The sequence below is a fragment of the Homo sapiens genome, chromosome 6, assembly GCF_000001405.40.
Source record: "Homo sapiens chromosome 6, GRCh38.p14 Primary Assembly".
Taxonomy (NCBI): Eukaryota; Metazoa; Chordata; class Mammalia; order Primates; family Hominidae; genus Homo; species Homo sapiens.
Genome location: NC_000006.12, coordinates 10,608,886 through 10,635,058, shown reverse-complemented (window position 1 = coordinate 10,635,058; position 26,173 = coordinate 10,608,886). Strand labels below are relative to the sequence as shown.

Genomic DNA, 26,173 nt, shown 5'->3' with positions numbered 1-26,173 from the left:
TAAAAATCATAATTATACATCACCTTGATTGAAAAATAAAAATTACAGGCTCATGCCTGTAATCCCAGCACTTTGGGAGGACGAGGCAGGTGGATCATGTGAGCCCAGAAGTTTGAGACCAGCCTGGCCAACGTGAAGAAACCCCATCTCTACTAAAATTGCAAAAATTAGCCTGGTGTGATGGCACACGCTTGAATGCCAGCTACTTGGGAGGGTGAGGCAGAAGAATCACTTGAACCCGGGAGGCGGAGGTTGCAGTGAGCTGAGATCATTCCACTGCACTCCAGCCTGGGTGATGGAGGGAGACTTTATCTCAAAAAAAAAAAAAAAATTAACAAAAAAGAAATGAGAAAGGAAACCACACTCAACTGGAATATTGTTGAGTGTAATCCAGAAATGTTTATCTGGACTGTAGGTATCTTGAGACCGCTGGAGTAACTCAATGGCTATTTTATTATAAAGAGCAAAATGGACAAATTCCCTTGTAAGGGCAACGTAACTTGAGCCAAAGTGGATTTTGAGTTGACGTGGAGGTGGGCTCTTCTTTTTATGCTTCTTTAGGACAAAAGCGTGTGCTCTGGTTCTGTACTCTCTATGGGTATATTTGATCCTTTCAGTAGATTTCAGAACAGACACTAAATTAGGTGTAATGTTTGTCCAATTCATTGTTTTCAAATACTGAACTATCTCCCTGTTGGTTTTTAGGGGGAAATCGTGATCACCAGTGTTAGTGACATATCTCCACTGAACAGTTGATGCTATAAGATCTCTCATGCAGGCCAGGTCCGCCTGGAGCCTGGATTTTCCACCATAAATAATATACTCAGACTGTGAGGATATAAATGCATTTGAGAAGCACTCCAATAATTCACTCACAGCAATTTTAAAGTCAATCGTGGCCGCCTTATCAACGTGAATACAGTAGACATTTTGAGGCATGTAAATAGCCCAGAAAAGCCATTCAAACGTATCGAAATCTTGACTGATGGTCATTACATATGCCAAAGGGAATGCAGCTTCTTCTGTGGACAAAGGAGTTGTGATATAGTGGTTCTCTAGCACATAGTAAGGGCAAGAATCTATTCCAAACATTGTGGATAAAGCGCTTGGCAATACTTGCACCGTCTTCCCATTTAGGGCTGCGTCACAGATGTGCAGTCGGGAAAGGGCTTGATATTCACCACCTACGTCATCTATTTGACCACTGTCTGGTTGACTTACATGCACATTGTATAATACTGTGACTATGATTATAATTTGAAGAGTAATGATACAAAGATAACAGCTCCAAACCTTCATTTTAGTTTTTGACACCTGGGGGTAGAAGGGTGGAGAGAAAGAATTCTTCTTTAAGAAATAAATCAATTTCTAAAACATTTTACTTCTCTACCAGTCTCTACATTTGGCCACTTTATCAGTTGCACTCACTTTTCCAGATCCCATTTGCTTATTTTGATGCCTGGCCATTCCTCAGTTGAGTGTCAATTCTGTGGTATTTCTTACTTCTTGTTCTGCAAATGTTCTGATCTTTTAGTCAATGCATCCTCATCCAGGCTGGGCTACCAAGACTACTCAGTGTGACTCACCCTCCTTTCTGTCCTGTGTGGCTGTAACTGGGGAGATGGGGTAAAGGGTTAGTTCCCATTTCCTGTTTCTGTTGTTGAGTCATCTAATTTGTTGTAATTGTGTCCAGTTATATACCTGTCTGTATCTACCTCTCCTTTTGTGGCTAACTTCTCCCTGGGTATGCATATCTGGGTATATTCAAGTAATTTCCCATCTTGCTTATCATTCCTAACCTTTTAAGCAGGAGGATCCTTCCAGATTTCTGTCCGTTCAAGTAAGAGTACTTCATTAGGCATGGCCAGGTCTTAAGAGTTTTTATCCAAAGTGCTCAGCATAGTGCCTGGCACATTTGGGCACTCAGCTGATTCTTCCAATGAATAATTGAATGAGTAACTCATTTCCCTTATTCATTTAGTTTTGAAGGGTCCCAGCAACATTGGATGGCAAAATCTCCCCACAACTGGCTGTGGATTTTAGAGGAGACAGTGTTTCCATATAAACTGCTGTAGACTGTGGAAGATTAGGGACTAAGTTTTAACATGACCCATTACTCATATATATTAATAATTTTGATTATTCATACAATTTCAAACTATTGCTTTTTTTTTTTTCTGAGACGGAGTCTCGCTCTGTCGCCCAGGCTGGAGTGCAGTGGCGTGATCTTGGCTTACTGCAACCTCTGCCTCCTGGGTTCAAGTGATTCTCCTGCCTCAGCCTCCCTAGTAGCTGAGATTACAGGCGCGCACCACCATGCCCAGCTAATTTTTTGTATTTTAGTAGAGACAGGGTTTCACCCTGTTGGCCATGATGGTATCGGTCTCCTGACCTGGTGATCTGCCTGCCTTGGCCTCCCAAAGTGCTGGGATTACAGGCGTGAGCCACCGCGCCCCGCCGCCTTCTCTGATTTTAATTGAGCATTTTTATGATTGTATTGTATTTCATCTACTGATGTAATTTTTAATGGCTGCCGTAGGATTTACTACATACATTAAAAAATATTCTAGGCCAGGCGCAGTGGCTCACGCCTATAATCCCAGCACTTTGGAAGGTTGAGGTGGGCAGATCACTTGAAGTTAGGAGTTCGGGACCAGCCTGGCCAACATGATGAAACCCCGTCTCTACTAAAAATACAAAAGTTAGCCAGGCATGGTGGCGGGCACCTGTAATCCCAGCTACTTGGGAGGCTGAGGCAGGAGAATCGCTTGAAACCAGGAGGTGGAGGTTGCAGCCAATGGCCTGAACTTGAAATAATTCACTTTAACTAACCTGGCGTTAACTTTTTCAATGATTTCTCCTAATATCTTGAGTCCTCCATCACATTATGCCCTGGGCTTATTTCTGCAGTCTGATACTTGATGTTGAATGTCAGTTTCTGAGTCCTGTATTTCTTTGTCAGGAACCCTTTTGGATTGTTCTGCCAGCCCATCTCCTATAGATCCTTCCCAAGATGCAGGTTAGGCTTCCCGGGCTCAAACAGGATTGTCAAGGTTGACCTTCCATTCGGCCACTGTGGATTCTCACCACTTTCAGAGCTTGTAGGTGTTCCTCATGGAAAGGTGACCAGAGTCAGGTTTGCCCATGTCCTCCTCCTCTCAAAGACATTCTTGTTCCAAGGTCAGAAGTCAGCCCTCAGAGGTTGTCCACTTATGTGTTTTCCAATTGGCTTGACCCCTGAATCCCTAAACCAACCCACCCAGTAGAGGGAGGAGTTATAATAGACACCTTCCAGCTCAGGCATTTGTGTTCCCAAACTCCAACTGTGTAGCTCTCTGTTTAAATGGATCCCTGCTCCAATCTCTTGCTTGGCATACGCCACTGTACTCAAGTCTAGGTGTTCAAAAAAAAAAAAAAAAAAAAAAGCAGGGGTAGAAAACTTTTTTCTTATCTTTTGAATTAATATGTGGGGAAAAAAATTAAAAACAACAACACATTGTCACACATAATTATATCAGCCAACAAAAAAGAGATAGCAACTGGGATTTAAAAAATCAGAATCATAACACTTATATTTATTTTCTGCTATTGTAATTCTTAACTCAATAAAAGGTATCTACTAAAAAGCTATATAAAATCTCCAACAACAGTAATTCAACGTGCTTTTTAATGTTGGAAACAACACAAGGAAAGCTGCTACCACTGCTACTATTTAAAATTGCATTATGGGCAGGTGCACGCCTATAATCCCAGCACTTTAGGAGTCCAAGGTGGGAGGATCACTGGAGGCCAGGAGTTTGAGACCAGCCTGGAAAATATCGTGAGACTCCCATCTCTACAAAAATTAATAAAAAATTAGCCGGGCATGGTGGTACACGCTTGGGAGGCTGATATGCAAGGATCACTTGAGCCCAGGAGTTTGAGGCTGAAGTGAGCCATGATCATGCCACTGCACTCCATCGTGGGTGACAGAGCAAGACTTAGTCTCTCTTAAAAAAAAAAAAAAAAAGAAAAGAAAAAGAAAAAAAGAAAGGTCGAACTAAAACAGCAAGTTGTAAAGATATATTATTTTTTATTTATATAATCAATTCAAATATGCCAGTATATCTGTTTTTAGTATGCCCACTGTATATACACTGTATATACAAGCACATACATATAACTATTGTTTGCCTCTATAACTCTGCTGTCCAATGGTAGCCACTAGTCATATGTGGCTATTTAAATTAATTAAAGCTGGCCAGGCACGGTGGCTCACACCTGTAATCCCAGCACTTTGGGAGGCTGAGGCAGGCAGATCACCTGAGATCAGGAGTTTGAGACCAGCCTGGCCAACATGGCAAAATCCCCTCTCTACTAAAAACACAAAAATTAGCTGGGCGTGGTGGCATGCACCTGTAGTCCCAGCTACTCAGGAGACTGAGGCAGGAAAATCGCTTGAACTGGAAGGTGGAGGTTGCAGTGAGCCGAGATTGTGCCATTGCACTCCAGCCTGGATGAGTCCCCTCCATCTCAAAAAAAAAAAAAAAAAAATTAAAGCCAAATAAAATGTTAAAGAATATTTCCCAATCATACTAGCTGCATTTCAAGAGCTCATTAGCTTATGTGAGTGGCAATTATATTGGGCAGTGCAGATGTAGAACATTTTTATCATTGCAGAAATTCTACTGGACAGCACTGCTATAGATTATATCAGTACACTGAGAAAGCACTTGACCAGGTGTGGTAGCTCAAGCCTGTAGTCCAGCACTTTGGGAGGCTGAGGCAGGTGGATCGCTTGAGCCCAGGAGTTTGAGACCAGACAGGATAACATGGCAAAATCCTGTCTCTACAAAAAATACAAAAATTAGCCATGTGCAGTGGAACATGCCTGTGGTTCCAGCTACTTGGGAGGCTGAGGTGGGAGGATCACCTGAGCCCAGGAGGTTGAGGTTGCAGTGAGCCATGACTGTGCCACTGCACTCCAGCCTGGTTAACAGAGTGAGACTCTGTCTCAGAAAAACAAAAACCAAAAAAAGCAAATAAGTGATTATGTCTGGAGAAAGTAGTGCACTTTTTATTCTATATTCTTCATTATTTCCATGTTTATGAGCATGTATGTATTTATTATAGTTTAAAATGTTTTTCGCTTTAGCTTTAAAATATTTTTATTTGAAAAAATATGATGGATAAGATGTCCTTTAAATGATTTTTTTTTTTTTTTTAGTATTGATCATTTTCCATGTGTCTGTTAGAGGCAATATTTATCAAACTTACAATTGAAATGCTGCTCAAAAACATTGGCACTTGATCAGTAATTATGGTAATATTAACATAAAACTTTTTCCTAATGTATATCTTGATTTTTTTAAATGAACAATAGAGGCAGGTAAATAATAAGTTAACTTATTCCTGTCTCAAATTTTAAAAATACTTGTACTCTTACCAAAAAAAAAAAGTTATACCCAATTCAAATGACACTGATCTTCTATTGCGCCCTCTTCTCTCTATCACTCCCAGTTACTCTCTCCAACACCCCACAATGGGAAAGTTTAATGATTTTTCAGTGGATGGATGTTTCTTAGACAGGTATGCATGTATGTATGAATGAATGTAAATTTTGTTTAACACCAGGAGAATTGCCTTGTTAGACATATCCTTTAGTGGATTTTTAACCAATTGTCATATAAAAATACACAGTATCCCCGAAGTGGAAAACAATATATTAATTTATTCCCAAGAAAACAAAACATGGAACCTCATCGAAAACAAACATCAGATACAGTAGTTTCAGGGCATTCCCATGGGCTGTCAGAAACCCACTAGCCCAAACACTATGCTCTTCCAACATTAAAGTATTTAAGACACAGGAGAGATGACCAACAACAGACATGTAAACATCAATTCCAGAAAGATTTCTTGTTCTACATGAGAAACATCCAGTGTAAAACGGTTCCTCTTCTCAGGTGCTGTCATTTAAATAAGTTGAAAAGAGACAATTTTTAAACTCCACTGCTGACCCTGAGTGCATTCGCTATCCCCTCACCTATTTTGTTTTGGGACAAAGTCTCGCTCTGTCACCCAGGCTGGAGTGCAGTGGGGCACTCTCAGCTCACTGTAACCTCCACCTCCTGGGTTCAAGCGATTCTCATGCCTCAGCCTGCCAAATAGCTGGGATTACAGGCACATGCCACAAAGCCCGGCTAATTTTTATATTTTTTAGTAGAGATGGGGTTTCACCATGTCGGCCAGCCTGGTCTGGAACTCCTGGCATCAAGTGATCTACCTGCCTTGGCCTCCCAAAGTGTTGGGATTACAGGTGTGAGCCACCACGCCCGGCCCAAGCCAGAGGTCTTGTAAGGGGACTCATCCCATCATGAGGGTCCTACCCTCGTGACCTCATCTAAACTTCCCTTACCAAAGGCCCCATCTCAAATACCATCACATTGAGGGTTAAGGCTCCAACACATGAATTTTGGGGGGACACAGTCCCATCTATAGCCAATGGCAGTTTGTGCTTGGAGCCCACTCTGGTCACCTTAGTGGGACTGGCCTCTGTGCAAGTGACAGGTTTTCACATGTGGCCTTCAAGAGTTCCTTGTGTGACCAGCTGTCCCTATTCCTTAACACTTTACCACCCAAAACAACTCCATTTTTTTCAGTAGCAAGAAAAAAGGTTTTACTTCAAAGTCATTCCCTTTAAATATGATTGACATTCAACAAGCACAGTTACAGAAAAAAAATAAAATTGTGTTCATTAAATGTGTCATCCATTTGTAGTAATTGCTTTTTGTTAGAATAAATAAATATTTAGAAACTCAACGGTTTAGTATTACAGGAATACTAAAGTAGACTTCACATTTTTTCTGAACTGACAGGACTTTTTCTCAGTATTAACACTGAGACCATTCTTAAAATCTACCTTCTCTGGTATACTAAATATGGCTTTATTTCACCTTCTCTCAGTAAATCCACCTCAGGAAATGAACTGAGAAGACCAGCAACAGAGTCCCAATTCTCACCCAGAGAAATTGTTCCCCGGTGCTATTAACCTTTCTAAGCCTCAGTTACTTCATCTGCAAAATGGGAGTAATTATATAAGGGCCTCACAAGACTGTTGTGAGGTTTGAATGAAATTAGATACATAAAGGAATACCAGAATGGCTGGAACACAACAGGTCCTCCCTCTGTCTCCTCCTTTCTCCCTCTCTGTTGAATAATCTCTGATTTAACCCTTAATTTGTAATTACTGATCTCCTGGGCCTGGTATCATGCTACACAGCCCTGTGTGTTCCTGTATTAAACTACAATCACTCTGTAAGATTCTCCAGAGGAGGCTTTCTGGTGTTGACATTATTGCCAAGATTTTTAGAGTGAAAAAGCTCTTATGTTTCCTTTTTGTCTCAGTACATGTCCTGTACATAATAGACACTCAAGAGATGTTGATTGAAGGCTGAATGAATGAACGGATGGATGAATGAGGGATAAATAACAGAGATGTTCATCTACAATTGAAGGCTCTTAAAAATCGAGCCACTACTATCAGTACCAGGCAGTGTAAAGCTACTCAGAGCATACTATGGTGCAATTAAAAGCCTCACAGGATAGAATTTGGTCTCCATTTTGCAAGTAAGATAATACTGGGGAGAGAGGGGTCATAGAAGAGGAAAGTGTTCCAGACTTCAGACTAGATCTATGTGATAGCACCTCTCTTGAATGCATATCTCCATTCTTGCAAGGACTTTTTAGTGTTCTTAATGGAAGACATGACATAGGGACCAGCCTACATTCTGGCATATAAGAGAGAAATGTTTTATTCCCCGAGGTCCTTTTACTGAAGCAACAGACAGTGAATTCTGTCTTAAAGCATATCCTGTTTCTTGTTAATGACTTTATACTATATACAGAACTTTGTCCATGAGTAAGCCAAAAATGCTAGTGTTGAAACTCAGAAACAAGATGTATTCTCCATTCAGGTAGCTTATGTTTTAAAGGAAATTGGTGAATTACCCAGAAAGCTGTTTCACTATCTGTCTGGTTGAGCACAGTGGTGACTGTTAAGGTGTTATAAAAGATTCCTTCTTCAAAGAAACCTAATTCTTATTTTCCTAGACAGTATTATCTACAATTCTCTTTTTTACTAAAACATTTGTATATGATGAGTATCTGGTGCAAAGATCTGAGGTCATTTAAATTTATCATTGATCCTAACAATAAACTAATATAGAGGTGAGCATCAAGAAACAGCAAGACTAAAATTGGCCAAAGTGCCCAGATTGCTCTACCCAGCCATCCTGTTAGTGTATTTCACAGTGTCCAGTGGATATTTTAAGTATAATTACGTAGCCAGGTCCTGAAGCTATAAACGTGGTCCTGAAACGGTTAACATTACGAAGGCAAAAGTCTCTCACAAAAACAGGCTCCTCTTCCCAGCTGCAGTTTCCCTTCAGTCATGAGTAGCTCATGAATAGCTCAAAAATACCAGCTGGGTTGTATCGCAGTTTCACTCTGATTGAGGGTTCTTTCGCGATGCCTCAGTTCTAGGCATTCCACAGTAAGGGGGTAGGTATTAAGCTCAAACTTGTTAGCAAACAGGCTTGGTGAATTAACCAGCCACTTTAAGTCTCCGTTTCCATAGATACAAATACCATGTACATAGTGGCCTGCAAAAGAAAGAACAAGAAACAGAGTCAAAACATGCTTGCTTTCAAAAGGGTGATGAACTTACAGAATACTAGAGGTACTCTCCGACTAACTACAACTGTGCCAATGGTACAGGATTCAAATGAAATATGATTGTGCAGTCTCAGCCCACAAAGAACTGGAACTCTATTTAGAAGAACAAGAGGTACAAATATGTTATTTGAAAAAAATGAGAGTTAAATCATACAAGGCATAAAGTAACAGGTGTTAATATTTTAATTATGTTAATTATTGTGTATATCAAAATTAATATGAAAATTGTGTTAGTAACATAATAGGTGTTACAAGGTCATTCATGTACAGTAATCCCCCCTTATCTGCAGTTTTGCTTTCTGAGGTTTCAGCTACCCGAAGTCAACCACGATCCAAAAATATTAAGATATTTTGAGAAAGAAAGAGAGCATATATCTTTTATTACACATAACTTTTTTATTCACAGAACTTTTATTCACATAACTTTTATTACAGCATATTGTTATAATTGTTCTATTTTATAATTAGTTATTATTGTTAACCTCTTACTATGCCTACTTCAAAAATTAAACTTTATCATAGATATGCATGTACAGGGAAAAACAAAGTATATTTAGAGTTCGGTACTGTCTGTGGTTTCAGGCATCCACTGGGGGTCTTGAAATGTATCCCCCCGTGGATAAGGGGGGCCTACGGTATTACTAAATGAGAGTTACAGATGAGAAGTCCTACAGTGGTACAGGTGGGAGAGATCTTTATGGGTTGCGTTGAGTAAGTCTTTTTCCTGAGCTCTGGTCTATCCAAGTGCCTACTTTGCACCTCTGCCTAGATGTGTGATAAACCTCAGTGATGTAACACGTCAATATTGAAATTTTTTTTTTTTTTAACCTCAATAGCTTTTGGGGTGGGGACTTCCTGCTGGGAGAGGGGGTTTTGTTGGGAATAGGTTAGAAACAAGAATGGTAGGAAGTTGCAACCATTTTCCAGAGATTCTTCTGGGCACACAGGACAATTGCTGGTTGACTGACTTCACAGACTGAAGGGTTGGGCCTTGTGTCTCACAAGTATGGACAGTCCTTAAAGATTTTTGAAGAGAAGAATCAAGTGATGAAACTCATTTTAGCAAGATTAATTTTGAAGTGTTTTGCAAGGTACATTAGAAACCAAGAGGCTGCAGTAATAACACAAACTGGAGAGCTTGTTCAAAGTTAATGTCTGTGATGAGTGGGAAAGGGAGGATGTTGAAGACACTAGTACAGAAGGACAGATAGAACATGGTGATTAATTCAGTGGGCTGGGAAGAAGCATAATAGAGAGTAGAAGTCATTGGGGAAAGAAGCCAGAATTGTAGGAAGTGAAAGAATGACCAGGCGGCGAGAACCAAAAACACAGGCCTTAAGCACACGCTTAAAGAAATGGAAGTGAACAAGGAAAGAATATTTCGGCCTGGAGAAAGCAGAAGGTTCATAGACAACTCGATGTCTTCAAGATAGGGGCAATGAGTACAGGCTTTCAGAGAAAAGGAAAAGAGGCAGCAGAAAGGGAGAGGCTGAGAATGCAAAAGAGCAAGGGTCTGAGAGAGGGGGCCCACAGATAGCTGAGACCATAGCTGGCGGCTTTTGTTGGGAGGATGGGTGACTTGTCCTCTTGAAACAGGAGGGAACAATGAAAGAAGGTGTCCACACAGCTCTAAGATGGTGGGGCAGGATGACCTGACAAGGGACTAGATGATGAATTTTGATCACATATCTTGAATGTTCTTTTTCAAGTTGAAATGGTCGCTTTTGAGAATAGAAAGGCTGTTTTAGCATAACCTTGTGATATGGTTTGGCTGTGTCCCCACCCAAATCTCATCTTGAATTGCAGCTCCCATAATTCCCATGTGTTGTGGGAGGGATGCAGTGGGAGATAGTTGAATCGTGGGGGGCAGTTTCCCCCATGATTGTTCTTGTGGTAGTGAGTAAGTCTCACAAGATCTGATGGTTTTATAAGGGGTTTCCTCTTTTGCTTGGCTCTCATTCTTGGCTCTCATTCTGTTTTTCCTGCCACCATGTAAGATGTGCCTTTTGCCCTCTGCCAGGATTGTGAGGCCTCCCCAGTCACGTGGAACTGTGAGTCCATTAAACTTCTTTTTCTTTATAAATTACCCAGTCTTGGGTATGTCTTTATCAGCAGTGTGAAAACGGACTAATACACCTTGGGAGCTTAAAGGTGAGCAGGAAAGCTGAAAAGGTGTCCCTTAGGAAGGGCACTAGGAAAATAATGAGGTAAACAAAAGGATAAGTAGGTAGCCAGGAGGCCTAGCTGAAGGTAGATGACAGGACCCAATGGTGGGTTTGTCTTAAGAGAGTTCCGCAACACTCCCCACCAATACTCTGCCTAGGGAAGTACAAACGGCAAAAAAGGCAGATGGTGGTAATGATTAGGGTTAGGAATCAGCCTTGTAGGGTCAAAATGGCAAAAGGACCAAAAATGTTGGTGAGGACATCTTGTAGTGGCTTACAATACACGGGTCAGACGGGGAGTCCTCAGAAGGAAGCTCATAGAAGGAAAAAGCTTGAAATGTTGAACCTCTGGAAATCCCAATTCAAACCAAAAACAACATGGTTTAGGTGTGGACACACAACAGTGAACAAACTGGTCAAAAATCCTAGCTGTCTTGGAGCTTCTGCTCTGGGAAGAAAGACAGTAAAATAAGTAGGATGTGAGTAGGTGAAGGAAACTAGTAGAGGTGACAAAGACACTGTAATCAGAGATGGGCACTCCAAGTTGAAGATCATTCTAAGTGCTAAGAGGGCTGATGAAGGTAGTACAGGCCGGGTGCGGTGGCTCATGCCTGTAATCCCAGCACTTTGGGAGGCCGACGCAGGTGGATCATAAGGTCAGGAGTTTGAGACCAGTCTGGCCAACATGGTGAAACCCCGTCTCTACTAAAAATACAAAAATTAGCTGGGTGTGGTGGTGGGTGCCTGTAATCTCAGCTACTCAGGAGGCTGAGGCATGAGAATCACTTGAACCCGGGAGACGGAGGTTCCAGTGAGCCGAGATTGTGCCACTTGTACTCCAGCCTGGGTGACAAGAGTGAAACTCCATCTCAAAAAAAAAAAAAAATAATGTAGGCAGGTGGCATGCACTGTCCCCTGGAGAAAATACAGGCTGATTAAATATATTAACATGCTTCAGAATGGACCAAAATTTCTTTACAGTTGCATGAAAACATTGCTGTCCACAGTGGGATGAGACCATCAAGAGACACATGAGAAAGAGGTTGGTGTAATGGAGAGTTGTAGAGATGGAGCAACTTGGAGATTTTCACCTGAAACATTTAACATTTAGGTGCAGGTAAGATGGGGCCGGGCGCAGTAGCTCACGCCTGTAATCCCAGCACTTTGGGGGACCAAGGGGGGCAGATCACGAGGTCAAGAGACTGAGACCATCCTGGCCAACATGGTGAAGCCCCGTCTCTACTAAAAATACAAAAATTAGCTGAGCGTGGTGACATGCACCTGTTATCCCAGCTACTTGGGAGGCTGAGGCAGAAGAATCACTTGAACCTGGGTGGTGGAGGTTGCAGCAGTGAGCTGAGATGGCGCCACTGCTCTCCAGCCTGGTGATAGAGCGAGAATCCATCTCAAAAAAAAAAAAAAAAAAAAAAAAAAAAGATGGACTGAGGAGTAGAGGCAAAGTCTCGTTGCCATAGAGAGAAAAGGCCAAACCACCATATTGTCATTCATTCATTGATTCATTTGTTCAAACAATCACTTACTAAATAAATATTTATTGCATATTATGGACTGAATTGTTTGTCTCTCTAAATTCATATGTTGAATCCTAACACTGAGTGTCTCAGAGTGGAGACAGGGTCTTTAAAGAGGTAATTAAATTAAAATGAGACCTTTAGGGTGGGCCATAATCCAATATGACTGGTCTCCTTAGAAGAAGAGGCGATTAGGACACAGACACGCACAGAGGGAAGACCATGTGGGAACACAGGGAGAAAATGCTATCTACAAGCCAAGCAGAGAGGCCTTAATAAACCAGCCCTGCTGACACCTGGATCTTGGACTTCCAGCCTCTAGAACTAAATAAATTTCTATTAAGCACCCAGTCTGTGCCACTTTGTTATGGCAGCCCTAGCAAACTAATACTCATGCCCAGTATATGCTGGGCAATATTCTGAATGCAGTGTGTGCCAGGACTGATAAAAACTCTCCTTCACAAAATTCTATAGAAATGGAAATGACTTAGGATTTCTAGTTCTTTTCCATTTGGAGGGGAACCCTTCTTGCTAGTGTAACCTGCCATCCATCATGCCAGAGCTGTGCAAACCCCGACAGCTCTCCAAGCCACTGGGAAGGCTGCCTGTAGGGGGAGCAGGGACTGGCCTGAGGGTTGGGGGCCCAGCTTTCTCTGCGGTGCCAACATGACATCACTTCTCCTCCTGATGGCTTTCGCCTCTGAACAGCTGGACTCCCAGAAGGCACAGCAAGAGGAATAAACAAGAAAGCTGACTCTACAAGAAAAAAAAAAATTAGCCAGGTGTGGTGGTGCACGCCTGTGGTCCCAGCTTCTTGGGAGGCTGAGGTGTGAGGCCTGAACCCAGGATGTTGAGGCTGCAGTGAGCTGCATTCATGCCACTGCACTCCAGCTTGAATGACAGAGTGAAACCCTGTCTCTAAAGAAAGAAAGAAAGCTGAAAACTAGCAGGAAGAAAAACATGCCGCCCTGATTTGAACCCATTTTTCCATCTCCCTAGGTAATTATAAGTTAGAGAACATCAATGAGATGTTTAAACTTATTTTTGAAGGACTGTGTCTTGAAGCCTCTGGCTTCTCCAATAACTAACAGATTGGTCTAAATATAGCAGCAATTCTCTCTCCATGAGAACCCTGGATTCCACAGCTACCTTCCTGCTAACACCAACAGGCAGTGGCCTAGAAGCATGGAACGAGAGCCTCACCGTGGCAGCCTCCGTGTCTGTCTTCCATGTCACTCCACTTTATAGCTCTGAGGTTTCCAGTCCAGGATGCATTTGGCATAGAGCCAGGAACACCTGCAATGTTGATAAAGAAGAAGCGTAGAGATGAGAGTCATGAGAGAAGGGCATCAATTTCATCAATTAAGCCTCTAAGTCAGGCTTACTTTCTTTCAGTTTATTACCTTTCGCATTTCACACAGATTGGTATGTACTGATCTACCCATCTTCTGTTTCCTCCAGTTGATCTTTTGACCAGAATTTTAGTTGTTGACTCATCATCTAATTAGTATAACATCTAATTCAATCAATATACAAATCAATATACTAATACAATTCTGATCCATTTACTAATACCTAATTCGGTTGAGGGGTGGGGTGCTGTAGGTTGGCATCTTGCTAAGCCAGGGTTTCTCCACTTCAGCGCGATTGACAGTTTGGGCTGGATGATTCTTTGTTGTGGGGGCTGTCCTGTGTTTTGTAAGATGTTTAGCAGCATCCTTGGCCTCTACCCAATAGATGCCGATAGCACCCTCTCCTCAATTGTGACAACCAAAAATGTCTGCAGATATTGCCAAATGTCCTGTGGGTGAGCAAAATCACCCCATTTGAGAAACACTGTGCTAAGTGTTTTTCAATAACCCTGTCTATGAAATAAATTTTGGATAGGTCATAGAGATTGAAGGGTCTATTTAATCATAGTTAGACTCCAAGATTATAATATATAAATCATTACTAGAGAAGAAGTTGCCAGACATAGTGGTTCATGCCTGTAATCCCAGCACTTTAGGAGGCCGAGGTAAGAAGATCCCTGGGCAACCTAATGAAACCCTGTCTCTACAAAAAATAAAAAATTAGCTGAGTGCGGTGGCACGTGCTTGTAGTCCCATCTACTTAGGAGGCTGAGGTGGGAGGATCATGTGAGCCTAGGAAGGTCAAGGCTGCAATGAGCCATGATTGTGCCACTGTACTCCAGCCTGGGTTACAGAGCAGGCCCCTGTCTCAAAATAAAAAAAAAAAATTAAAAAAAGAAAAGGAAAACATGGGAGTCAACATAAATGCAACTAAAAGAGAAATACTTTGCTTTAGAGTTACAGCATTTTCCACCAGTGAGTAATGCAATCTGAATTTTGATGCAATGGCACTGTGCAAATGCTATCTGTACCCAAATTTCAATAGTCCTCTCTTAGAAGATTCTTTTTAATTACTGATAAGATATATTGTGGTAGGCAGAATAATGGCCTCCACCCACTCACTCCCTCAAACACACACATGCAGAACAGACAAAGATGCCTACATCCTAATCCCTGGAACCTGAGAATATGTTATTTTACACAGCAAAGGGAGATTAAAGTTGCTGATCAGCTGACCTTAAAATAGGGAGGTTATCCTGAATTATCTGGGTGAGCCAAATGTAATCACAAGGGTCCTCAACATTGGAAGAAGGAAACAGAAGAGCTGGACAGAGTGACACGATGTAAGAAGGCTCCACTCTGACTCTGCCTTTGCTGTTTGAAGATGGGGGAAGAAGCCACCAGCCAGGAATGTGAGTGGCCTCTAGAAGCTAGAAAAGGCAAGGAAATGGATTGTATTCAGAGCCTACAGACAGGAACCTGACCCAGCCAATGCCTGGATTTCAGCCTGGTCAGGCTTTTGTCCTGCAGAATTGTAAGACAATATATTTATGTTGTTGAAGCTGCTGAATTTGTGGTAATTTGTTGCAGAGCCAGGTAAAAAGCTAATACACATGCTAATGAGAAAAAGAACGACTCAAGGGCTGTGTACAGTGGCTCATACCTGTAATCCTAGTGCTTTGGGAGGCCGAGGTGGGAGGATTGCTTGAGGTCTGGAGTCCGAGACCAGCCTGGGCAACATAGTGAGACCCTATCTCTACTAAAAATTTTTTTAAAAATTAGGCAGGCTTTGTGACTCCCACCTGTGGTCCCAGCTACTCAGGAGGCTGAGGCAGGAGGATCACTTGAGCCCAGGAGTTTGAGACTGCAGTGAACAATGATTGCACATCTGCACTCCAGCCTAGGCAACACAGAAAGACACCATCTCCACAATTTTTTTTTTTAAATTAGCCAAGCATGGTGATGCACTCTTGTAGTCCCAGCTACTGGGGAGGCTGAAGTGGGAGGATTGCTTGAGCCTAGGAGCTAAAGGCTGCAGTGAGTTTGAGTACTACTGTATTCCAGCCTGGGTGACAAGAGAGGGATCATTCCTAAAATAAAAGAAGAAAAAAGCTACTTAAGACAATGAATATTTTTAATAGTTTTTAATAAAGAAAAAATTGGACAAGACCAATATTTTGAAGAAATTTAATTGAATTAGGCTTTTAAAAATATTAATAAAAATGTGCATTTTCAGAAGATCAGAAGAAAAAAGGTCTGTTCTTTTGCCCTGATGTCATATGATGATTATATGATGATCTGATTTGTAACCAGGTTTCCTAACTAAAATTAAATTTTGTTACAGCTTTTCCTGTAAACAGCATGAGTCTTAAATCCTAAGGGCTCTCTATAAGGCAAGAGTCTTTTCTTCTTGCTACCTAAACTTGAATTTATTTAATAAAAGTATTCAAGTATTCAAGAAAAACACTATTAAGCAATATTTCTATTTCTTTAACTTGCATTTTAATACTTTACAATTATTTTGATGCTTGCCTATCTAAAGGAAGCTACCTTGTTTTGTTCTTAACACACATTTTAAAAGAATTTGGAGTAAAACTTGTCCGGTGAAGCTGTGGGATGGAGAAGGAGAGTCTGGAAAGCAAAGAGAGAATCTGGCTTATTTACCGACATTTGTGTGCTTAGCTGACGTGTTATTATGAGCCAATGTCTATTAAATAACTACATCATAAAAGTATGAAGAGTACATTCCCATGACAAAAAGTCATTTAATGTTGAAATGACTATTTTTGAAAGCACAAGACATTTTTCTTCCTTTTTCATTCTCTTTAATACTGATAATCCCAAACTGACTCTTACTCAGAAACAGATTCCATTATTGCAGAGGTAAGATCGTGACATTTATAATTAATTACCTGCTGTCTTTATAAAATGAACACATAACACCTACTAACCTCGTGTTACTGAAATTCCAAACCTCAACTTCAATACTTTCTGTTTGATGACAGGTGTCAAACACGTATGTGCTTACATATTATGCATGTTTGTGCATTAAAACATTACATTTTTAAAAGCAGAAGGGGAAAGAAGGGCAAACAGAACAAGTTGAATTCTACTCTTTTTGCAAAGAATTCTGAGGCGCAGAAAGTGGCAGGAGTGGGCACAAAGCCTTGCTTTTTGAGTGTGGCTCTTAAGAGTAGGGGCATCAGCAGCACCTGGAAGCTTGTTAGAAATGCAGAATCTGGCCAGGCGTGGTGGCTCACACCTGTAATCCCAGCACTTTGGGAGGCCGAGGCGGGCGGATCACCTGAGGTCAGGAGTTCAAGACCAGCCTGTCCAACGTGGTGAAACCCTGTCTCTACTAAAGATACAAAAATTAGCCGGGTGTGATGGCACGCACCTGTAGTCTCTGCTACACAGTAGGCTGAGGCAGAAGAATTGTTTGAACCTGGGAGGTGGAGGTTGCAGTGAGCCGAGGTTGCAGCACTGCACTCCAGCCTGGGCAACAGAGTGAGACCCTGTGTCAAAAAAAAAAAAAAAAAAAAAAGAAGAAATGCAGACTCTGGCCAGGTGCAGTGGCCCATGCCTGTGGTCCCAGCACTTTGGGAGGCTGAGGTGTCAGAGGCCTGTGAACCAGAGCAACTCCATCTTAAATAGGAGCTGGGTAAAATAAGGCTGAAACCTACTGGACCGCATTCCCAGATGGTTACGCATTCTAAGTCACGGTGAGCGATGACAGCATGCTAGCAGCCCTCGCTCGCTCTCGGCACCTCCTCGGCCTTGGCACCCACTCTGGCCCCACTTGAGGAGCCCTTCAGCCCGCGGCTGCACTGTGGGAGCCCCTTTCTGGGCTGGCCAAGGCCAGAGCCAGCTCCCTCAGCTTGCTGGGAGGTGTGGAGAGAGAGGCGCCGGCGGGAACCAGGGCTGCGCGCAGCGCTTGCCGGCCAGCGTGAGTTCCGGGTGGGCGTGGGCTGGGGGCGCCCAGCACTCGGAGAAGCCGGCCGGCCCCGCCGCCCGGGGCAGTGAGGGGCTTAGCACCTGCGCCAGCAGCTGCTGTGCTGGATTTCTCGCTGGGCCTTAGCTGCCTCCCAGCGGGGCAGGGCTCAGCACCTGCAGCCGGCCATGTCTGAGCCTCCCCCCGACCGCCATGGGCTCCTGCGCGGCCAGAGCCTCCCCAACGAGCACCCCTCCCTGCTCCATGGTGCCCAGTCCCATCGACCGCCCAAAGGCTAAGGAGTGCAGGCGCACGGAGTGGGACTGGCAGGCAGCTCCACCTGCGGCCCTGGTGCGGGATCCACTGGGTAAAGCCAGCTGGGCTCCTGAGTCTGGTGGGGACGTGGAGAACCTTTATGTCTAGCTAAGGGATTGTAAATACACCAATCAGCACTCTGTCTCTAGCTCAAGGTTTGTAAACACACCAATCAGCACCCTGTGTCTAGCTCAGGTTTTGTGAATGCACCAATTGGCACTCTGTGTCTAGTTACTCTGGTTGGGTCTTGGAGAAACTTTATGTCTAGCTAAGGGATTGTAAATACAGCAATCAGCACTCTGTATCTACCTCAAGGTTTGTAAACACACCAATCAGCACCCTGTGTCTAGCTCAGGGTTTGTGAGTGCACCAATCGGCACTCTGTATCTAGTTACTCTGGTGAGGACTTGGAGAACCTTTATGTCTAAGGGATTGTGAATGCAGCAATCGGCACTCTGTATCTAGCTCAGGGTTTGTAAATGCACCAATCAGCACTCTGTGTCTAGCTAATCTAGTGGGGAGGTGGAGAACTTTTGTGTCTAGCTCAGGGATTGTAAATGCACCAATCAGCTCTCTGTAAAACAGACCAATCAGCAGGATGTGGGTGGGGCCAGATAAGAGAATAAAAGCAGGCTGACAAAACTAACAGCGGTACCCTGTTTAGGTTGCTTTCCACACTGTGGAAGTGCTGTTCTTTTGTCCTTTGCAATAAATCTTTGTACTGCTTACTGTTTGGGTCCATACAGCCTATATGAGTGGTAACACTCACCACGAAGGTCTGCAACTTTACTCCTGAAGCCAGCAAAACCACGAACCCACTGGTAGGAACAAACAATTCCAAACGCACCGCCTTGAAAGATATAACGCTCACTGCAAAGGTCTACAGCTTCACTCCTGAGCTAGCGAGACCACGAACCCACCAGAAGGAAAAAACTCTGAACACATCCAAACATTAGAGGGAACAAACTCCAGACCCGCTGCTTTTAAGAACTGTAACACTCACTGCGAGAGTCCGCAGCTTCATTCTTGAAGTCAGTGAGACCAAGAACCCACCAATTCCAGACATAGCAGGATGAGACAGGAGTCAGCACAAAATACAGGTCATAAAGACCTTGCTGATATAAACAGTTTGCAGTAAAGGAGCCGCCCAAAACCCACCAAAACCAAAGTGGCGATGAGAGCAATCTCTGGTCGTCCTGCTACACTCCCACCACTGCCATAGCAATGTCAGGAAGTTGCCCTCTATGGTCTAAACGGGGGTAATAATCCACTCCTTGTTTAGTGTATCTTCAAGAAATAACCATAAAAATGGGCAACCAGCAGCCCTCGGGGTTGCTCTGTCTATGGAGTGGCCATTCTTTTATTCCTTTACTTTCTTAATAAACTTGCTTTCACTTTGCACTGAAGACTCACCCTGAATTCATTCTTTTGCAAGATCCAAGAACCCTCTCTTGGGGTCTGGATCGGGATCCCTTTCCTGTAACAGGCAGGTAGATCTCTTGAATCCAGGAGTTTCAGACCAGCCTGGGCAACATACAGAAATCCCATCTCTATGAAAATACAAAAATTAGCTGGGTGTTGTGATGTGCGCCTGGGGCCCCAGGTGTTCGGGAGACTGAGGTGGAAGGATCATCTGAGCATGGGAGGTCAAGGCTGCAGTGAGCCAAAATCAGGCCACTGCACTTTAGCCTGGGTAACACAGTGAGATCCTGTCTCAAAAAAGAAATTGAGACCCACGCCAGGCCTCTTGTATCAACATCCAACGTCAGCATCTTCACAAAATCCCCAGAAGATTCTTGTGTGTGATCAAGTGTGAGTAGCTCTCAGCTGTAAGCAACACTGGGAGGAGGATGCAGCTTGTCCTGGGGAGCAACAGCACTGTCCTTTTTTCCTCCCCTCCTTGACCTCTCTCCCTCAGTCTTCATCAGGTTTGTAGGTTAGTCTCTTACTAACTATTCTCACTCAAAATCTTCTCTTGTGAGTGAATCTGGTCCCTATATCCTTGGGTTAATTGTAACTAACTTGTTCCCACTGCTAGGAATATATGCATTTTAACGGATCTCTCACATCACCTCCTTGAAGGCATCAGCCCACCTGTTATAGGAAAAAGCTGCACTGAGCAGAGGACCAGTTCTCACAGTGCCTTTGACTTCATAGCACTTGGCCACCAGGAGACTCTCAACCAATGTTAAAGGAATGAACGCGCGTCCATTCCCAATGCAAGGGTGGCCCCATTGACTCAGTCAGTCTTTAGTGCTGATGGGGAGGACCGTTTAGGTTTTGTGAGGATCAGACGGGCCTGGATGCTGTCTTGATTTCCCAATAGGACATGGCAACTTAAGGTGTAATAATCTCTACTTCTCAGTACCAAAAAGCATTTCTTCTACCTTTCTTCTTTTTCTCTTTTTTTTTTTTTTTTTTTTGAGACAGAGTCTTGCTCTGTTGCCCAGGCTGGAGTCCAGTGGCATAATCTCAGCTCACTGCAACCTCCGCTTCCCAGCTTCAAGTGATTCTCCTGCTTCAGCCTTCCAAGTAGCTGGGACTAGAGGGGCGTGCCACTAACGTCCAGCTAATTTTTTGTATTTTTAGTAGAGATAGGGTTTCACCATGTTGGCCATGCTGGTCTTGAGCTGAACTCAAGTGCTCCACTCGCCCTGGCCTCCCAAAATGCTGGGATTACAGCCGTGAGCCACTGTGCCCGGCCTCTTCTACCTTCTTAGCAAGCACCAACCCATTTCAATTTGCCCTTCAATAATGACCTGGGTGATCAGCAATCATCCATTCTCCATATCTGTCCTGCTTGGTTCAACTTGCTTAGGGAAGTGAGAAAATATTCAACAAGACTTCTGGTGACAGCTCAATTTGAATACCTAGTAAGCATCACTTGGTTATTATTTTGAGGAGATAATGGCAAGCTTAAGATTGAAGACCCTGAATGTACAATGTGCTCACTGTTCAGTAAGTAATTTAATTTGGCTTGGGCTGAAAGATACATGGAGATCCCAAAGCTACCAGTCCCATCACTCTTGCCAATGTCCAGTTGCTCCTTCTCTACTCCCTAAAAGCCTCTCTATTAAGCCTGTTTCCTGCCTGCTGCCAGAGACTGATCCCAGGCTGAGCACCCTGATGGAGTAGACACTGGCCTAGGGATTAGGGAACTTCCGTTCTCATTCCAGCTTTGCCACTAACCAGCTGGGTATCCCTGGACATCATCCAACGTCTCCAAACCTCACCTCTCAAATGAAGTAGGTAAATCTGATCAGTGGCTTTTCAACCTTTTAGACTGCAACCCACAGAAAAAACACTGTATACCATCACACACACACACGTATATAAAGCAAACAAGTTTCATAAAACAATACTTGTGCTTATTACATGCGATGCACTTGTTAATTTTATGTTGTTTTCTGGTCTAGTTTCATCTTAAAAATTCTGATCAAAAACTACTAAAGTGATTTCTGTATCCTCTAATGGGACACAACTAGTATTGGAAAAATACTGGACTCGATTCTATTATTATTATATTTGCTGTTAGGATCACTATCACTATTCTTTGTCAGGACTCTGGGAGGGTAGTTATGGGGAGTATGGGTAGGACCGTACCCTTCATTCACAAGAATCCTAGCAAAGGCCTATTTTTCATTATTTCTAGGACAGGGCAAAAAAAAAAGTCAATATTATCTGAGAAAACATTTTAAACTATAAAATCCAATTCTCTCATTTGCTCTTCATAGGCTTATATAAACAGAGCATTTGAGGCAAAGTTTACAGAGTAACCAGGAATGTTTTTCTTGGGGCTCAGCCTTTCTTAGTCAAATAACTGCGTTTGTTAAACATGATTCTTTGAAATGCAAGCTTTATTTATATTGACTTGACGTTCTCATTATTCTTACACAGTTTGGTCCTCATTTTGGGAGAACTATCTGTGGTAACAAGTTCCAGAAATTGCTTATTATTTAAGCTCACATATATACTTTTTAATTTCTTAAGAAAACAAGGAATTTTGTTTTTAAATGTTAAATAGTCAATGCTGATGAGAATATATTGAAAGGGCTTTCTCACAATTCAATGGTAGTGCTGAAATTGGTTCAGCTGTAGAAAATCAATTTAGAAACATGTAGGAAAAGCCACCATAACTGCCAATTCCCTTTGACCCTTTAATATCTTCAAAATAAGCTACGGAAGGGACTTTTAAAATGCAGAAATCCGTATATGAAGATGTTCATTATGACATTACACACGATAACTGACAGCACCAGCTTTGAAGTCGGAGAGACAAGCATTGCTACCACTAACTGTATGACTCTGAACAACTATTGAATCTCTTTAAGACATGGTGTACTCGTCTTTAAAACCTCACAGGGTTTTGGGAGGGCTAAATGAGAAAAATCTGTGTACAGTGCTTTGCAATGCCTGGCATACATAACCACTAAATACATGGTTGAAAATATAATCCCTTTAATAAAATCATGGGGATAATGTTTCTGTGGAAAAGACCGCTTTTTTTACTATAATCTAAAGCAGTTTTCTCAACCTCAGCATTATCGACATTTGGACCAGGTAATTCTTTGTCGTGGGGGCTGACCTATGTCGTTTAGGATGTTTAGCAGTGTTCCCAGTCTCTTCCCACTAGATGCCAGTAGCAGGTCCCCAACCACAGATGTGACAGACCAAAATCTCTCCAGACATTGCCAAATGTCCCCTCAGGTGCAAAATCACCCCTGGTTAAGAATGATTGATCTAAAGTTAAAACAAAAACAAAGGCCGGGCGCGGTGGCTCACGCCTGTAATCTCAGCACTCTGGGAGGCTGAGAGGAGTGGATTACCTGAGGTCAGGAGTTCAAGACCAGCCTGGCCAACATGGTGAAAGCCTGTCTCTACTAAAAATACAAAAATTAGCCGGGCGTGGTGGCACACACCTGTAATCCCAGCTCCTTGGGAGGCTGAGGCAGGAGAATTGCTCCAACCCAGGAGGCAGAGGTTGCAGTGAGCCGAGATTGCACCACTGCACTTCAGCCTGGGCAACAGAGTGAGGCTCTGAATCAAAAAAACAAGCAAACAAAAAAAAAACCCCACAAAAACACCAGAATATGAAATTGTATACTATTAATAAACCATGCACAAATATTTGCATGTGAAATGTGAGTGGAGGAAATACCAGTGTTTTCCTTACTTATAAAACTTTCTTTAATGTTGTATTGCTTTTATATTTTTTACAAAAGTTTATTGATATACATCTAAGCTTTATTTGCTTCATTAATTTAGTAATTGTGCTTGTGACTAATTCTAATAATTCAATTAACTTTAACAACAAAAAAAATGGAAAATTACCAAATGGCAGGGAATTGTAGTGTTAAATAACTTGTAGCCTCTTATTCTGATTGCTAATTTGGGTCATTTTTGGAAATTCAAAGTACATAGGCCGGGCATGGTGGCTCACGCCTGTAATCCCAGCACTTTGGGAGGCCGAGGCGGGCAGACCACGAGATCAAGAGATCGAGACCATCCTGGCCAACATGGTGAAACCCCGTCTCTACTAAAAATACAAAAATTAGCCGGGCGTGGTGGCGCACACCTGTAGTCCCAGCTACTTGGGAGCCTGAGGCAGGAGAATTGCTTGAATCCGGGAGGCGGAGGTTTCAGTGAGCTGAGATCGCGTCACTGCACTCCAGCCTGCCAATAGAGCGAGACTCCGTCTCAAAAAAAAAAAAAAAGAAAGAAAGAAATTAAAAGTATATATTTGTTTCCACCCAGTACTGGTTCAATTGATCAATTGAACCAGTTCAAGTGATCAATTGATCACTTAGGATTTTTTTTTTTTTTCAAATAGACATGGCTCTCCTCTCACTATGTTGCCCAGGCTGTCAAACTCCTGGACTCAAGCAATCCTCCCACCTTGGCCTCCCAAAGTGCTGGGATTACAGGCATGAGCCATCACATTTGGCCTATTTAGGATTTTTAACACGAGAAACTTACTAAAAGAGACCCTGTTTTGTTTGATGTGGATGTTTCTAGTTTTGTAGTCCCTGAGACAGTGGTATAGCATTCTTAATATGACATCTCTGCACTCATCTCGCATAACTGCCAACAAATTCACTCCTTAGTTTAAAAGGAAAAGATGAAATGAAGAAAGGAGGAAAACCCCTGAATTTTAGAATTGAATGGATTTCAAAAATTTCCTAATGCCTCCCCCTCGTTACCAAGCTATGTGAACTACAGCCTAGAAAATTTAAGTGAATTTTCTAGGCTCTAGTTTAGGAGTGCAGATGTGCTAAAGAACTTGTTGATTTTGTTTCCAGATAATTTACTCACTTATTCAAATACTTTCTTGCATGCCTCCAACATTCCAGAGTAGATGGTGGAGGTAAAGCCATGAATGGGATATTCTTGGGGTTTTCAGCTTAATGTATCTAGAGAATTTATATTTATTAATATCTTCAGTAGCAGCCTAAATGCCTTCAAGCCAGAGTCATTCTTGGACAGTCTTCTGGTGAAGACTAGGCAATGTCAGTAAAAAGTTGAGAAACATAGGCAATCCTTGGCTCAGAGCAGTTCAGATTTCATTACAATGCTGACATGGTCCATTGGCCGCCTGCCTATGCATCTCTGCTGTTTATAATTTTTAGCTCTTGTCAAACACTCTTCTAATTATAGCAGATTTTCCTGAGGTGGTGAAGGCCTTCAGCTTCCATATTCCCAGACATGTAGCCTGAGAATGTTCCCTTCTTTGCTCCACTAAACCCTGCCATACTTCAAAATCTTTCACCTTCACGATTAACCTAATGCACTAGTTATTCCCTTCCAGCTACGACTGTTGAAATTTTGCACAGTACAGGAGTCGCCAATGGATTTCCAATCTACCAGCAGTTCTCCAAGCTGGTTGATAATAGCATTGCTCAAACACATACCTTTTGCTTTCCTTTGATGCCACAGTCCTCACTCAGGTGCTCAACATCTCTCATCAAGAAGACTGTAATTGCCTGCCAGTGGGTCTCTCTGTCTGCAGTATTTCCACCAGATGCAGTCAATACCACCAGATGGCTCTTCCTATAATCAGCACTGATCCTGTCACCCTTCTATTTGAATGGTTGACCCTGTGTCTGATTTTTCAAGCCAGCTTGAGATGCCCCACCACCACTCACCCTCCAACAAACAAGCAAACTCAGACTTGGTCTCATCCTAGACCTCTTCTGCCGCCTCTTACCACCCTTACCAGAATTCCAACTCCTCACTTCATTTCTCATTTTACATTTCTACATTTGTTCCCCTGGACCCAGCTTCATGCTTATCTCCTCCCTCAAGAGCTAGATTCTGAACTGTCATTTCTTTCCTTTGCTTCATACTGTCACTAACCAAGCAGACTGCCCCAGCCAGCTCCTCAGAATTATAACCCTGGCCAGACCCATCACTTCAGTTCTATAGATCACATTCCGGCCAGGAAGATCCCAAAATGCTGACCACAACACATAAGAGCTTTTACAATCTTGCCCTCTGCTATGGTTTGAATGTGTCCCCCAAAATTCATGTGTTGGAAACTTGATCCCCAGTGCAACAGTTTTGAGAGGTGGGACCTTAAGAACTGACCAGGTCATGAGGGCTCTGACATCATGAATGGACTAATGTCATTATTTTGAGTATGGGTTCATAATTGCAGGATTGGGCTCATTATCACAGGAGTGGATTTATTGTAAAAGCAAGCTTGACCCTCTCTTGGTTCTCACTCTTATGTGCTCTCTTGCCCTTCCACTTTATGCCATGAGATGATGCAGCATGAACGCCTTCACCAGATGCCACTGCTGTGCTCTTGAGCTTCCCAGCCTCCAGAATCAGGAGCCAGATAAACCTCTTTTCTTATAAATTACCCAGTCTCAGGGATTCTGTTACACAGCAGAAAATAAACTAAGACACCTCCAGACTACAAACAGCAGACTGGGAGCCCATAAACCACATTTGATTGGTAGGCCTGTTTGGTTTGACCCCTGCAGTAGGGTGGAATTGAGCCAACATGGAAAAACCAGATTTTCTATGGAAGTCTGAATTCCTATTGTCCCTTGACAACAATTCACCGGGGTTTTAGGCATCCAGGAGCTCTCTGGCCACCCTGGCCCCAACGTGTTTCATTCACCTACATTGTCTGGCCCTGTTGACATGTAGTTTGCAACA

General features: G+C 42.7%; 1 protein-coding gene and 1 pseudogene across 10 annotated transcripts in view; both read right to left on the bottom strand.

Annotated features, from left to right (window-relative positions):
- GCNT2P1 (GCNT2 pseudogene 1) lies at positions 229–1,299 on the bottom strand (annotated as a pseudogene).
- GCNT2 (glucosaminyl (N-acetyl) transferase 2 (I blood group)) overlaps positions 5,691–26,173 on the bottom strand; it is a 108,018-nt gene continuing 87,535 nt past the window's right edge. For 7 of the 10 annotated variants that reach the window (XM_006715052.4, XM_047418633.1, NM_145649.5 and 4 more), the window contains 2 exons: positions 13,616–13,708; positions 5,691–8,642 (listed from right to left, as the gene is read on the bottom strand). In XM_006715052.4, the coding sequence (XP_006715115.1) occupies positions 8,452–8,642; positions 13,616–13,708 (284 nt within the window). In that variant the 3' untranslated portion in view covers positions 5,691–8,451. Of the gene's footprint in view, positions 8,643–13,615; positions 13,709–15,000; positions 15,195–26,173 lie in introns of those variants that run through there. The other 3 variants (XR_926136.3, XR_007059235.1, XR_002956275.2) reach the window with 2 other exon arrangements.